This window comes from Homo sapiens, chromosome 9, assembly GCF_000001405.40.
Source record: "Homo sapiens chromosome 9, GRCh38.p14 Primary Assembly".
NCBI lineage: Eukaryota > Metazoa > Chordata > Mammalia > Primates > Hominidae > Homo > Homo sapiens.
The window spans coordinates 104,451,271-104,465,643 of NC_000009.12; the positions used below are offsets into that span (position 1 = coordinate 104,451,271).

Genomic DNA, 14,373 nt, shown 5'->3' on the forward strand with positions numbered 1-14,373 from the left:
ATTTGTCCTTCATTTATGTTTCCTTTCTTTTTTCTAATATCTATCCATACTTCCTATGTTAAGTATAACCATCTTTTAATAGAGGCAGTTCTATTCATACCAGCTATCGATAAAAAAAAAAAAACAGGAACACTTGAGGTAGCATATGTGCTCACTTCCCAGAATATCATGGGCTATTCTGGCATTTCTGACACTTCAGTCCATTTCTGACATTTCTTTTGATTGGAGGGTCACCTGTCCCACAATATTCCATAGGCCAGACATTTCTAAATCTATTGTTTTGATTCTGTTGGGAAGTAGCAGAATAACATACTATATATGATTTAAATAAATAGGGATTTGGTTCCTTCAGATAAGAAGAAGACTGGCAGTAGACTGTTGCTAGTACTGGTGCAGTAACTCAATGATGTCATCACAGGTTTCAGGCTCTTTTGTGTGTTACGCTTTCCTACCATCAGGTTTTAGCTTTTCTTTTCTATATGTTTTGCCTCATAGTGATAAAATAGTATCACAGTTCCAGCAATCACACCTACCATCAAAGCAGGAAAAGAAGAAAAGCATAAAGCAAGAGGTTTCACTTGAATTTTGTCAAGAAAACAAAGACTCGTCCAAAATTTTCTTTACATCCTGTTGGTCAAAAATAGTTTGAACTGGCAGCTCTAACTGCACGAAAGGTTGGAAGTGTAAGTACATGGTATTTTTCAACCTCTGTTACGGGTATCAAATAAATGAGCAGGGGATTGAGAGTTGTGGTTGAGTTGGAAAACCAGCTGTGTTTTCCACATGCCTTTTTGTGCTAAGTATGACAGCAACTGTCTCAGGTGAGAACCTTATATTACAGGCTTGTTGTGTGGTGAACTGGTATATATCTGTCTCTGTTAGCAGACTCTGGTGAACTTTGAGGTCTCTTTATATTTTTTAGTAACCATGTGTATTTCTCATTTCTCTCATTAGCTGTCATGTCACATTTTCTATTTTATTTGTAGTTTTTTTCCAGACCTCAGGTTGCAGAAGATTGAGCTAATCATATTCGTCAGTTGGAGACATAGTGTCATCAGTGATTACACACGTCCCCAGCATTGTAATTTATTTAACCCCTTATATCCTTGTTCCCATTTCTATCCATTCCCTCCTCAGCAACCATTTTAATATGTTTAATACATTTTTATATATTTTGTTTAATATAACTTTTTATATATTTTAATACATATTTATATATTTTGTTAAAATGTTGTTATAGTTTTGTGATATATGTATCTATAATATAGTATTATAAGTTCCCTTCTATTACATTTATTACATGTATGTATATATACAAATGTGTATATATTTTCATTGACATCTCATTAACAGACTACAATACCACAGATCTTAGGTCTTCAGTTTGTTGTCTTTTGACAAAGGTATACACTGTGTAACCATTACACAAAACAAGATACAGAATATTTCCATCCCTCCAGAGATTTCTCTCATGCTGTCATCTAGCCTAGTCTCCTCTTCCTCATTATTTGTAGTTTTTTTCCAGACTTCAAGTTGCAGAAGTTTGAGCTAATCGTATTTTTCAGCTGGAGACACAATGTCATCAGTGGTTGCACAAGGCCCCAGCATTGTGTATATGTATACAGACACACACACACACACACACACAATATAGATATATATGTACACATGTACATTCAACCCAAGTCTCTCCTTTTAAGATCTATCTGGCCAGATGCAGTGGCTCACGCCTGTAATCCCAGCACTTTGGGAGGCCGAGATGGGCGGATCGTTTGAGGTCAGGAGTTTGAGACCAGCCTGACCAACATGGTGAAACCCCATCTCTACTAAAAATACAAAAATTAGCTGGGTGTGACGGCATGTGCCTGTGATCCCAGCTCCTCAGGAGGCTGAGATGGGAGAACACTTGAACCTGGGAGGTGGAGGTTTTAGTGAGCCAAGATCGAGCCACTGCACTCCAGCCTGGCTGACAGGGTAAGATTCCATCTCAAAAAAAGGAAAAAAAAAAAAAAGATCTATCCATGTTCTTTTGTGTCCACCAAGTCTACTGCTTCTCACTGCTGGCTACAACCCAGTGATTTGTACCCTCCATGTTACCCACTTCTTTAGCCTGCTTCCTCTTCTACCTATCCCAGTGACATTGCCATGAACATCTTGAACTTGTCCCTTTATAGATCTGTGTATTAGTTTGTGATATTTATCCAGGACTGAAATTGCTGGATTGTAGGGTATATATATAGAGAGAGAATTGCACTCAATACTGCCAGGTTTCTCCAAAGAATGTCTTCGGCAATCAAAGTTTTCACTACCAGTGCCTAAGTCTTCCTACATCCTCACTTCTATTCCAACACTTGGCATTAGCCAGCATTCCAATGTTTGCCAGTCTAAAGGGCATATAACAGTGATGACTTATCACTATTATTTATTCTGCATTCTGTATTTTTACTGATACATGATAGCCCTTGATTTATTAAAAACATCAACTTTTAATTTGTGACTATTTTTCCTGGCGAAGTTGCCCTTCAGATAGGTTTTTTGGTATTGAAGTTTTGGAGCTTATTTCTAAATTTGGGGTAATTTAAAAATTTTTTATGAAGTCACATTGATTAATTTACTTCTCTACTTTATTTTTGTAGTCATGTGCTTAGAAAATCTTCTCACCCATCTACGTATTGTATTAAAGTTCTGCCAAATATGGTTCTAAGAAGTCTATAAACAGTAACAGTTTTATATTTTCATAATTATTAGAGGGTGTACAATACAGACAACGTTTTCATCCCTCAACCTCACCATAGGTTTTCCTTCATCCCCAGAGTTTAAGAGTGACCACAATTGAGAAAAAGAACAAGGAACTGGGCAAAGTTCAGAGATGAGGTAATGTCTGTCATACATATTCTCTCGTGATAAAGTAACTGTGCTTTTACACCTTGGGACTGCTATTTTAAAATAACTGTACCTTTAGCCATGTCATGATGCCCTTCCTTATATTTTCTCTAGGTGAAAGTTACAGTCCAAAATAAAAAATTTAATAGTTGTAAACCATTATGAGCTGAAGCAATTTCTATTCATCCCTTCCCTATCTCATATAACCATAAATAAGAATCAAAATGGTTGTTCATTATTTATTACATGATGGAGAGTCTTAGCAAAAACTAGTTGTATTAAGAAATAATTTTCACCTACACCACAACACTGGAGGTTATTATATAATTTACAATGTAGTTTTTCTATTTAGGAAGGCTTTATCTCACATACACCTATAAGCTCTTATTCTTTGTTCATTTTAGTGTGTTATTTTCCTTCTGAGTTATTATTTGTAATGATCTTCTTTCTCTTGCAATCTCAGAGCATTTTGCAGACCAAAAGTTGTGCTTTGGGTACCCTTATGAGTGAGCTGTATTGGCATCTGTAGAGGACTAGAATCCCAAAGCAAAAACACATGAAGCAACTCAGTAGCCTGCTGAAGTTTGCTTATGAGTCAAAGAATTTAATGATCCACCAAAGAAGCATATAACACACAAAAAAATGGGTGCTTGGCCTTGATGGAATTTTTATCACTTTAGTCAAATGAAGAACAATCTAGCCATGAGATACATAATATGTAAATAATACATAATAATAATCACATACACTAATGACTGTTTATGGTTATTCTTGTAGCAGAAGATTGAAATGTAGACTGAAAACATTGATTCAAATCCAAACTCTAAAATTTTAAGCTTCTTAAATATATAAAACTTCAGGATTAATATTTTGGAGTATTTCCCTTAAATTGTTCCTTTGCGGTAGGAAATGGAATAGAAATTGTGAAAGCTTAAGCTCTGCTCAAAGAAGTAAACATTTTACCCAAAATGTATGTATCATAAACCCTTGAATATTTCATAAATTCTTCATTAATCATCTCTTGATTCAGCCTTATTGCAACATAACAAATCATATCTCATAATATGTAGTTAGGTTGCTCTAAAGAGACTGAAAAAGGTTTTGCTGTTTCTTTCTATGGCACTGTCAGATATCAGCATTATTTTTCTTGTGATAATTTTAACATTTGGTAATTGTTAACTAGTATCAGGGAAATTCCAGATGCATCTGGTCAGCACTGGTATCTTGGCACACAATATGCTGTTTAAATAATACATGCCTTCCAAAACTGGACCCTTCGCACAGCAAATGGAGGCAGCTGGATGCAAAATGATTGGAAAGATGGGAGCCAAGCGTAAAACTGTTCTATAGAAGTCAACTTTTATTTTGCATTAACTAAATCTGCTTTTCTAAGCTTATCAACCCCTTCAAGTTTACAGTTAATGGGGAACACTGTAATTTGAGATGTCAGAAAATGTATCTCAGATGGAAAAGGGAACTTGCAGAGTCCTTCTCTGAGGCTAAGGGAAAATTATATGCTATATTCTGGTTGTTCCTTGGGTTTTAAACTTGGAGCCAAGCAGTTTTCGTTTTTAAAAGTATGGTGCCTTATTTATCCTTTTTGTTTTTAAATTTACAAAAGCTACAAAGCTGATCTATGTGAATAAAGGCTTGTATTTAAAATAATAATAATAATACATGCCTTCACTTAACATCCAATAGTCATATGTATAAAGAAGCTTAAGCCATGTAAATCATATTTAGCAAAGAGAAGAAAAATTAAAATGGACTTTGAAAAAAATAACATCTCATCCTATTTTGCAACGCCTAATAAAGTGAGACAACTTACTCTTCATTCCTAATCCACAAAGAAATGCTCACTGGCTCTAAATAATTGTCTCCTTAGATGAGTAAATGCGGTATATGAGAAGACTTCTAAACAGTGGAACATGGAGGAGTGGAAGAAGACTAGCTCAGTAGATTTAAAATTCCCCAATCCATAATTACAAAATACCACTTCCCTTTTATTATTTTAGGCTTTCCCAGAACGAAGTTAAGGTTTTCAAAGCAATAAAAAGCTGAAAACACTATATGTTGGTTTTTTTTTTTGGTAGTCCATATCAAAATGCATATAACAACTGTCACCATAGAGGAGAAACCTTTCCTATATAGAATTAATAAAATTGTCTGATTAAATTCCAGAATGCTGGTTGTACTGGGAATGAAATCCACTCCTGAACAGCCTGCAGAGCTTTGAAACTCTAGAATTAGAAATAAACTTGAAGCTCATTCTTGAGGCACAGATCTCTTCTAAATACACAGATCTCTCTTAAAGCTCTTTCTGTATTATAATAATTGATGATTTTGTTTCATTTTTGTAGCAAAAGCACTAGTTTTCATGAAGAGTTACACACAGAATTAATTATGGCCTTTTATGAATCAATAATATGCTTGCCTATGTTCAATCAGGTAAGTGCTTGATCAGTGAGAAAAACTGTTATTCACCCAAGAGGTAAGTACGGTGGAAACAAATTGCAGCAATAATTGGAATAACCATCATTTAACTTATCTGGACGAATAATTTTTTTATTTTGTAGATATTTTGGGGATTCACCCTAGACTTTTTCTCCTTAATCATTCCAAAAACTCAATAAATCACTAAATCCTACTTATTTTACCTTCTAAAATCTCTTAGTATCACACCTTTCTTTCTACTTCCAGGGCTAGAGCCTTCAGGGCATTACCATCTATTAACTAAACTATTACAACTATTTTTTAACTGCCTTTCTGGCTGCTAGTTTCTCCCTGGTCTGATGTATTTCTGCACTACTGTCCAAGTCTAATTTGACCATGTGACTTCTCTGATTAAACTTCTCCTTTTCTATACTATATTTTGGATCAAGTCCAAATCTCTTTGTGTGTCATACAGGCCTGTGCGTTATCTGGCCTTGTCTGTCTTCCAACCTCATCTCTCTCCCAAGTAACACCACCACATTTAAGCAGAGGATCAGAGGTGTAGGCTATCAAAATGCTTATATTTCCCTGAGCATCTCTTTCATGATGACTTCCCTTTCATGATGTTCCTTACTCTTCCTAGAGTCATCTCAGACAGAGACAACATCTTGTAGAAAAACATTTCAGAAATCTGCAAGAAGAATATCTAATGAGAATATTTTATTGCCAAGAGCTTTGCACAATTTAATTCAATGAATAGTTAAAATAACCCTAGGAAGCAGGAACTATTGTTACCATTTTACAGATGAAAAAACTGAAATTCATCTATACAAGAAGTGTGCTCAGCACCACATAGGTTGTAAGTGGTAGTGCTAAGTTACAAACTCCAACAGTTTGAAGCCAGCACAGTCACGTGTTTTATTGCACTTCCATCCCCCTTTCTGATTTTTATATCAACACGTATAAGAGTTGGGAGCACTAGAGTTTATGACTCTATCCTCTACTTGACTGTGATTCCTTCATGGCAAGGACAATGTCTGTTTTATCTTCCCTGTATTCTCAACATACAGTTTGGTCCTGACAATCCGTAGGTATTTGAATAAATGAAAAAAATGGCTTACCGGTTATTCAACCTTTTCCTTACTTTGTTTTTGTTCATTAATTGTCCCATGCATGTGGCCACCTAACAGATAAGCTAAAGAGTGGAGCAAATATAAGTTTCAAATCAGTCCAGGTGGTACCTAGGTGATGTTCTATAAGAAGGCTTAGTATAGAAAAAAATGTAAATGAATTTAACCAAATCCATTTAATTAAAATGTAAATGGATGTAGCTAAGAGAGGTAAAGTAACTAGCCCAAGTTCACACATCTAGTAAGTTTTTTAGTAACAGGTCTACCAGCTTCTCAGCCTTGTGAAGTCCAAGTGAGCACCTGTTGCAATGGATACTTGCAATGGGTATTCATATGTATTCTTGGAAGTCTCCTCTTTGTTATCACAAATGCATATTTAAATTTGGCCTGTGTATGGTCTGTCTTCCCAATTAGATCAGAAACTCCTAGAGAAAAAAGATTGTCTAGATTCCTCTGTGCTTCTCACATTTGCGTAAAACTATGACATGCACCTGAAATGCACAGTAAACATTTGTTGAATAAATGAACCAATTATTTAAGGTTTATTAATATAATAGCCTGATTATTAGAGTATTTATAGGATTTGAATAAGAAAATGCATATGCACTTCAGGAAGCTATTCTGATCTTCCTTTCTTGTAGAATCCAACACTCACCACTTCCCTCACATGATCATTATTTCATCACTACATTTTGGGGATTATATATTAACTTTATGCTAGATTTCAAAAATCGGACTCAGAAGCTGTCACTAAGACGGATAATAGTACCAAGTATTTTTGGGGCCAAGTACCCATTACAATAGATGCTACCTTGTACATCACAAGGCTGAGAAGCCAGTAGACACTGCTACCAAATTCCAACTCTGTCACTTACTAGCTGTGTGAGCTTGGGCTAATTACCTCTCTTAGCTACATAATTATCCACAGCATGGTTTAACTGAATAAAGCACTTAACACAGATTTGCATATAGACAATGCACTATAATGAGAGTGTGGTTTTTTTTCTGCAAAAATACAGGAAACTGAAATTTCTTTTATTTCTTTTTCTTTCTTTCTTTTCTTTTTTTTTTTTCTGAGACAGAATCTTACTCTGTTGCCCAGGCTGGAGTACAGTAGCATGATCTTGGTTCACTGCAACCTCCACCTCTCAGGTTCAAACTATTTTTGTGTCTCAGCCTCTCAAGTAGCTGGGATTACAGGCATGTACCACCACACCCAGCTAATTTTTGTATTTTTCGTAGAGGCAGGGTTTTACCATGTTGGCCCAACTGGTCTCTAACTCCTGGCCTCTAGTGATTCACCCACCTTGGCTTCCCAACGTGTTGGGATTACAGGTGTGAGCCACCATGCCCAGGCCAAAACCGAGGTTTCTTACCGGCTCTGACAATAACAAGATATGTGACCTTCAATAAGTAAGTTCACTCTCAGAGACTCGCTTGATTTTCTTTAAACAGGACTGATACGACTAAGTCACCTGTCTGAAGGAAGGCTAGTGAATCTAGCTATAAAACCCTTTACATAAATTTGAAACTTCTTCCGATCGAAGGCTAGCCTAGGAAGACTATGTATGGAGAATCCATGGGTCAGCCTATTTGTTTGCTTATTTGTTCAACAAATATTCATTAGTCACCTACTATGTGCCATCCAGTGTTATAATCACTGAGTAATGAACAAGAAACAAGACAGACAACTTTCCCTCATTAATAGAGTTTACAACCCTTTAGGGGATAATAAACACATATCTATACAACATCAGATGGTAAGTGCTGTAAAATAATAAAGTCTGGTTAGGAGTAAGTATGAATAGCCTGGTCTAGAAAAGCCTCCTGGAGAGAATGGCATTTGCACAGAGACCTGCATGATGGGAGAAAGTAAACCATATAGTAAGTGGGCAAAGAACATCCCAGGCAGGATGAACAAGTGCAAAATCCCTGAGGTAAGAGTGTGTTTGGAGTATTTGATGAACAGCAAGTCAAAGGGTCTGGAGAAGACTGAGTGATGGCAAGAATTATAGGACATGAGGTCTGAGAAGAAGCGGGGCCAGATTATGGAAGGCTATGAAGGCCAAAGTGAGGTTTTTTTCTTTTATTTTAATTGCAAATGGAAGACTTTGGAGATAAATTCCTTATATTTTGAGGATTAGTCGGGTGCTGTGTGAGGAATAGATAGTGCACCATCCATTTATCAACAATTCCAAATTTGCTCACTTCTATTTTCACTCATAAAAGTCATTCATTGAAATAAACCTAGTGCCAGGTGGAAAGTCTGGGCTGTTTACTGTGGATGGACGTTTATTAATGACGTCTCCATAGGGTGGGTGCCGGATGGAGACCTGAGACAAGGAATGAACCAGGTCTGTGAAGTAACACCTGGAGGGAGTCCAGGCACAAAGAAGAGTAGATAAAAACTTTCCAAAGTTGGAAAGAACTTGGAGGATTTCAGACGCAAAACTGAGGCTAGTGTGCCTGGAGCTGAGTGAACAAGGGGAGGATGGTGCCAAGGTTAGCTGACAGGCAGTCATCAGATGGTGCAGAGCCTCTGAGCCATATAGAGGTTGAGTTTTATTCGAAAAGCAATTTTAAGCAAGTGTAAGCAAGAAAATGATCTGATTTTATAATTTTTAAATCTGTCTAGTTAAAATGGATGTGGGTATCAAAAAATTGTTTTTATTATTGAAGAATTTGGGACTACTGTCTTGCACAAGTGACCTAGGAGATATCGACACTTTCTCACTCTCCAGGTCCAGTCCTGTTAATACTACTTGCTTTATATTTTACAAATCTAGTCCTTTGTATCCAACCCTGCTGCTGCTGCCTTGGCCCAGGGTGTCCGTATCTGTCCAGTTGATTATTCTAATAGGATTCAAATTTGTTTCCCCTAAAGGGCAATTCGTATCGTGCCACATCTCTCCTTAAAATACTGTAATGGGTCTCTAACTTTTTTTTTTTTTTTTTTTTGAGACGGAGGCTCGCTCTGTCGCCCAGCTGGAGTGCAGTGGCACCATCTCGGCCCACTGCAAGCTCCACCTCCCGGGTTCATGCCATTCTCCTGCCTCAGCCTCCTGAGCTGCTGGGACTACAGGCGCCCCCCACCACACCTGGCTAATTTTTTGTATTTTTATTAGAGACAGTGTTTCACCATGTTAGCCAGGATGGTCTCGATCTCCTGACTTCGTGATCCACCCACCTTGGCCTCCCAAAGTGCTGGGATTACAGGTGTGAGCCACCGTGCCCAGCCAATGTGTCTCTAATTCTGAAAGTAAATATAAATCCCGGTTGGCCTGGACACTCTCAGTTTATACCTTTTCTCCCAGAGTAATTATTAGTAGCACCAACTCTCAATCTTCAAAGTTTCCTAGTTTGGCAAATCATACAGTGACGCTTAGGCATTTAGTTTCAAATTCACACTCTAGCGAGTTAGACAAATCCCTTCTAGGCCTAGATTCCTCCACCCTTGATTGCCCCCATCCTCCACTCTATGTATTTTTTTTGCATACTTACATATTTCCAGTATTTTTAAAGCAAAAACACCCTGCCTTCATTGTCTTTTCTCTTGGTTTGTATATACTTCCCCCACTATTTCTTCCCACAGCTAGCTTGTGTATGATCTTCAAATTTCAGAACAGGTTCCACATCCTTCTAGAATACTTTCCTGCCCTAAACTTAAGTTGTGTGCCTCTACTTGTAATACCATAGTTCTTTTTTATTTCCAATAACTAACACAAAGCCAGAAAATGTTGAAGGCTAGAAGGCAGGAAGGAAGAGAGGCAGGAAGGCAAGAAACAGGTAAGAGAGAAGAAGGAAGGACGGAAGGACGGCAGGAAGGGAGGGAGGGAGGGAGGGAGGGAGGGGATTTGTCTTACATATGGAAGATATTTCATAAATTTGACTATCATCAACATATAGTCTTTACTCTAACTTAATTACCATATTCATTATAAGAATGATGAGTAATTTCTAGTCTAAAATAATCTATTTTCTGACTGATATTTTGTCTTATTCTTAGAGCCCTGTAATACAATTGATGAGATCAGTTCCATTTATTTTACTGGTAAAGAAACTGAGACTCTCACCCTTTCTAATTGCTTTCAAGCAGCAGTTTTGCATCATTATTGGATTAAAACGAAGGTATACCTAGGATGCAGCTATGAATTCATATTTTAATACTCTGATGGATGACAACTGATTATAAGCTGCAGTTTCTCAATTTGTATTATCACAGATACTTCACTCATAGGCCTTTAGTCAAATCTATTTCCCAAGGATAGCTAAATTTAATTTATAGGTTTGTGCATTTCAAGTTAAAGGATGGATATTTGATATCAGAGAAGAGCTACTGGCCTGTATTATGCCAAATAGTAACGGAAATGAAAAATGGTCAAAATGAGGCTAAAGTTTTCTGGGACATTGTGCTGATTGTTTTGCATTTCCCCTATACTTCTCCAAGGTTCATTCTCTGCCTTTCCCTCCTCTGCACTTTCCCTGGGAGTCTGACATTGATGGACTCCATCTACCAGGCTTCCCTGACCAAAATCTTCCAGTTGGTTTGGACGCTGGAGGCACAGGCAGGCAGACAATCCAAAGGGAGGAAGCCAGAGAATATAGGTTTTCTTATCTGCTCCTTTTCTGTTTCCTTGCCATGCCTCTGGCTGTAGCTGTGACTCTCTATGTCTATAGGCTCCACCTGCAGCCACTTCTCAATAGGTTCGGCTCCCACTGGGGTGAGATAATTCATTTTTCTTCCCTTGTCCATTTGATTTTAGGGTGATATTGTTTTCTTCCACTTCTCATCTCTGGGTGGCTCACCATCCCTATTTCTCCCCTTATCCCTCCCTAGTATATGTAACTCTTTCATTACATTCTCTTTGGGATGATTTCTGTTTCCTGATGGGATCCTGATTTAAAGGGGAACAATGTCTTCATTTCTGCTAATAATCAAAACTTAATAATTAAGATTCACAACATCCTTGACACAAAAATTAATTAGGTGAGATTCTATCCAGCAGCAAATAATAAAATGCTGTGCTCAAAAGCCTTACATGAATCAGTTTATTCATTTAATATAACAAGAAGTCTGGAGGTGTATGGCTACTGATATTAATTTTGGACTCTATGATGTAAGTTCTGACATATCTTTGGCTCACTGTGTCTTTATTTCAGGATCACATGATGACTGTGCTACCTCCATCCGTCACATCTTTATTCAATCAGGAAAAGAGAGAAGAGAGGTCATAGCAACCATGTCTATCCATCTTAGTAACAATTTAGTTTTCTGGCCTGGCGCGGTGGCTCAGGCCTGTAATCCCAGAACTTTGGGAGGCCGAGGCGGGTGGATCACCTGAGATCAGGAGTTCGAGACCAGCCTGATCAACATGGTGAAACCCCTGTCTCTACTAAAAATACAAAAATTAGCCAGGCATGGTGGCGCATGCCTGTAATCCCAGCTACTTGGGAGGCTGAGGTAGGAAATCACTTGAACCCAGGAGGCAGAGGTTGCAGTGAGCTGAGACTGTGACACTGCACTCCAGCGGGGGCAAAAAGAGCAAAACTTCATCTCAAAAAAAGAATTTAGTTTTCTGGAGGCTACTCTCACAGACTTATGCTTAGCATCTGTTATAAGGTGAATTGTGTCCTCTTAAAAGTAACAGGTTAAAACCCTAACCCCCAGTACCTCAGAATGTAACTCTATTTGAAGATAGAGGCAATAAAGAGGTAATTATGGTTAAATAAAGTCATCTGGGTGGGCCTTCATTCAATCTGAGCTGTATTCTTTAAAAAGAGGGAAATTTGGACACGTACACAAGACACCAGAGATATTCACACACAGAGGAAAGACTATGAGGGGATGCAGGTAGAAGGCAGCCTTCTGCAAGTTAAGGAGAGAGACTTCAAAATAAAACAAAATAAAACCAACTCTACTGACACCTTGATTTTGGACGTCCAGCCTCCAGAACTATGAGAAAATAAATTTCTGTCATTTAAGCAACCTGTCTGTGGTATTTTGTTACGACAGTCCTAGCAAACTAATACAGCATCTTTTTGGTTGGAATTATGTTTTCAGACATCCCAGCTGTCAGGAAGACTGAGGAAATATCTAGATTTCCAGATATTTAAGGGAGGGACAGCAAGAAGGAAGTTGAGGTCGAGTAGCCACACCACAATGTTTGCCTCAGAAAATGTTCTTGTGATGTCATTTACACTGAATTGAAACATTTTATTGAGATAAACAAATCTCACCACAGATGTTAACTATAATAAAGCTCTTATTTTACTCTTTTATTGCTTCAAATAAAATAGATCCTTCAGATCAAAGAGATACAGGAAGGGAGTTGACCACTTGTGAAAGAAAGGCATAAACAGGATTTGATGAAGTGTTTGCTATCAATGGTACATCAGTCCATTCTCATACTGCAATAAAGAAATACCTGAGACTGGGTGATTTATAAAGAAAAGAGGTTACATTGGCTCACAGTTCTGCTGTACAAAAACATAGTGGCACCTCCCTGGCTTCTGCAAAGGCCTCAGAAAACTTACAGTCATGGAGGAAGGCTAAGGGGGAGCAGACACCAGACACATCACATAGCCAGAGCAGGAGGCAGAGTGAGATGAGGGAGGTGCTACACACTTTTAAACAACCAGATCTTGTGATAACTCACTCACTCACTATTGTGACAACAGTGCCAAGCGGGATGGTACTAAACCATTCATGAGAAACTGCCCCCATGATCCAATCACCTCCCACCAGGCCCCATGTCCAACTTTGGGGATTGCATTTCAATATGAGATTTCAGTGGGCACTACAGATCCATACCCTATCAAATGAAGAGAAATGTATTATACTAGCTTTCACCACAATTCCTTTTAGAAAAATACACCAACAGGCAACAGAAGAGACAGTCAAGTGTCTGCATGAACAAGTGAGAGGAATATGTAATGCAACTGGGAGTGAGGAGAAGGGAAAAGAGAATAAAGCAGCATAACGAGGAGATAAATACAGGACCAATGTTTATGAAGGAAGGTTGGGCACCAGGTACAGTGAAGTAATCAATGCCCATTGAGAAACTACAGTAGTTGAACAACCAACAGAATGAGATTAGAAATGTCTAATATATCCTCTGAAAAATTTCTAACATAGACAATTATTTCCTTTTCAAGTTTATTTTAAGGTGGAATGACATTTAAAGAAAGGGTTCCTGTTTTGTATTTTTCTTAGCACAAGGGTAAGGAAATACCATTGCAAGCGTCATAGAACAAGAAAAAAATTTAGTAAAGAAAGGAAATAAGAATTATAAGTGATCATGAGAATATAAGCATTTATCTTAGAGAGAGTTTTGAACATCAACAGTGTGATAGGCAGAATAACAGTTTCCAAAAATATCCACATCCTAATCTCTGGAACCTATGAAATGTTAGGTTACATGAAAAAGAAGAATTAAAGTTGCAGATGGAATTAAGGTTGCTAATCAGCTGATATTAAGATAAGGAGATTGTCTTGGATTATCCAAATGAGCTCAGTGTAGTCACAAGTTTTTTTTAAGAATAGAGGAGGAGGCAGAAGAGGCAGTCAGAGTAATGCAATGGTAAAAGAACTCAGCCTGCACTCTGGCTTTTGAAGACGGAGGAAGGGGCCACAAGCCAAGAAATGCAGGTCCCCTCTAGTAGCTGGTAAAGTCAGAAAATGGACTCCCCAGCTTGAGCCTCCAAAAGGAAATGTAGCCCTACATTTCTTACAGAAGTCTGACATGGTTGAACCAGGTTAAAATCAAGGTGCTTATTTTATCATTACAGAACTGTAACATAAAAATATTGTGTTGCTTTAAGCTACTTAGTTTGTACTAATTTGTTTCAGCAGCAAAAGAAAACTCATACACACAACTTAAAGGGTGGAAATTCAGAGGACTGCATTTTTATCTATATCATCCTTTCT

At 37.8% G+C, this 14,373-nt stretch overlaps 1 long non-coding RNA gene across 1 annotated transcript in view; it reads left to right on the plus strand.

Annotated features, from left to right (window-relative positions):
* The window catches only part of LOC105376195 (uncharacterized), a 30,633-nt gene extending 18,201 nt beyond the window's left edge, over nucleotides 1-12,432 (plus strand). Inside the window, exons 2-5 of the long non-coding RNA XR_930202.4 lie at nucleotides 496-683; nucleotides 2,814-2,874; nucleotides 5,244-5,331; nucleotides 11,607-12,432. This is a non-coding gene — a long non-coding RNA (uncharacterized LOC105376195). The remainder of the gene's footprint in view (nucleotides 1-495; nucleotides 684-2,813; nucleotides 2,875-5,243; nucleotides 5,332-11,606) is intronic.
* The last annotated feature ends 1,941 nt before the right edge of the window (nucleotides 12,433-14,373 follow it).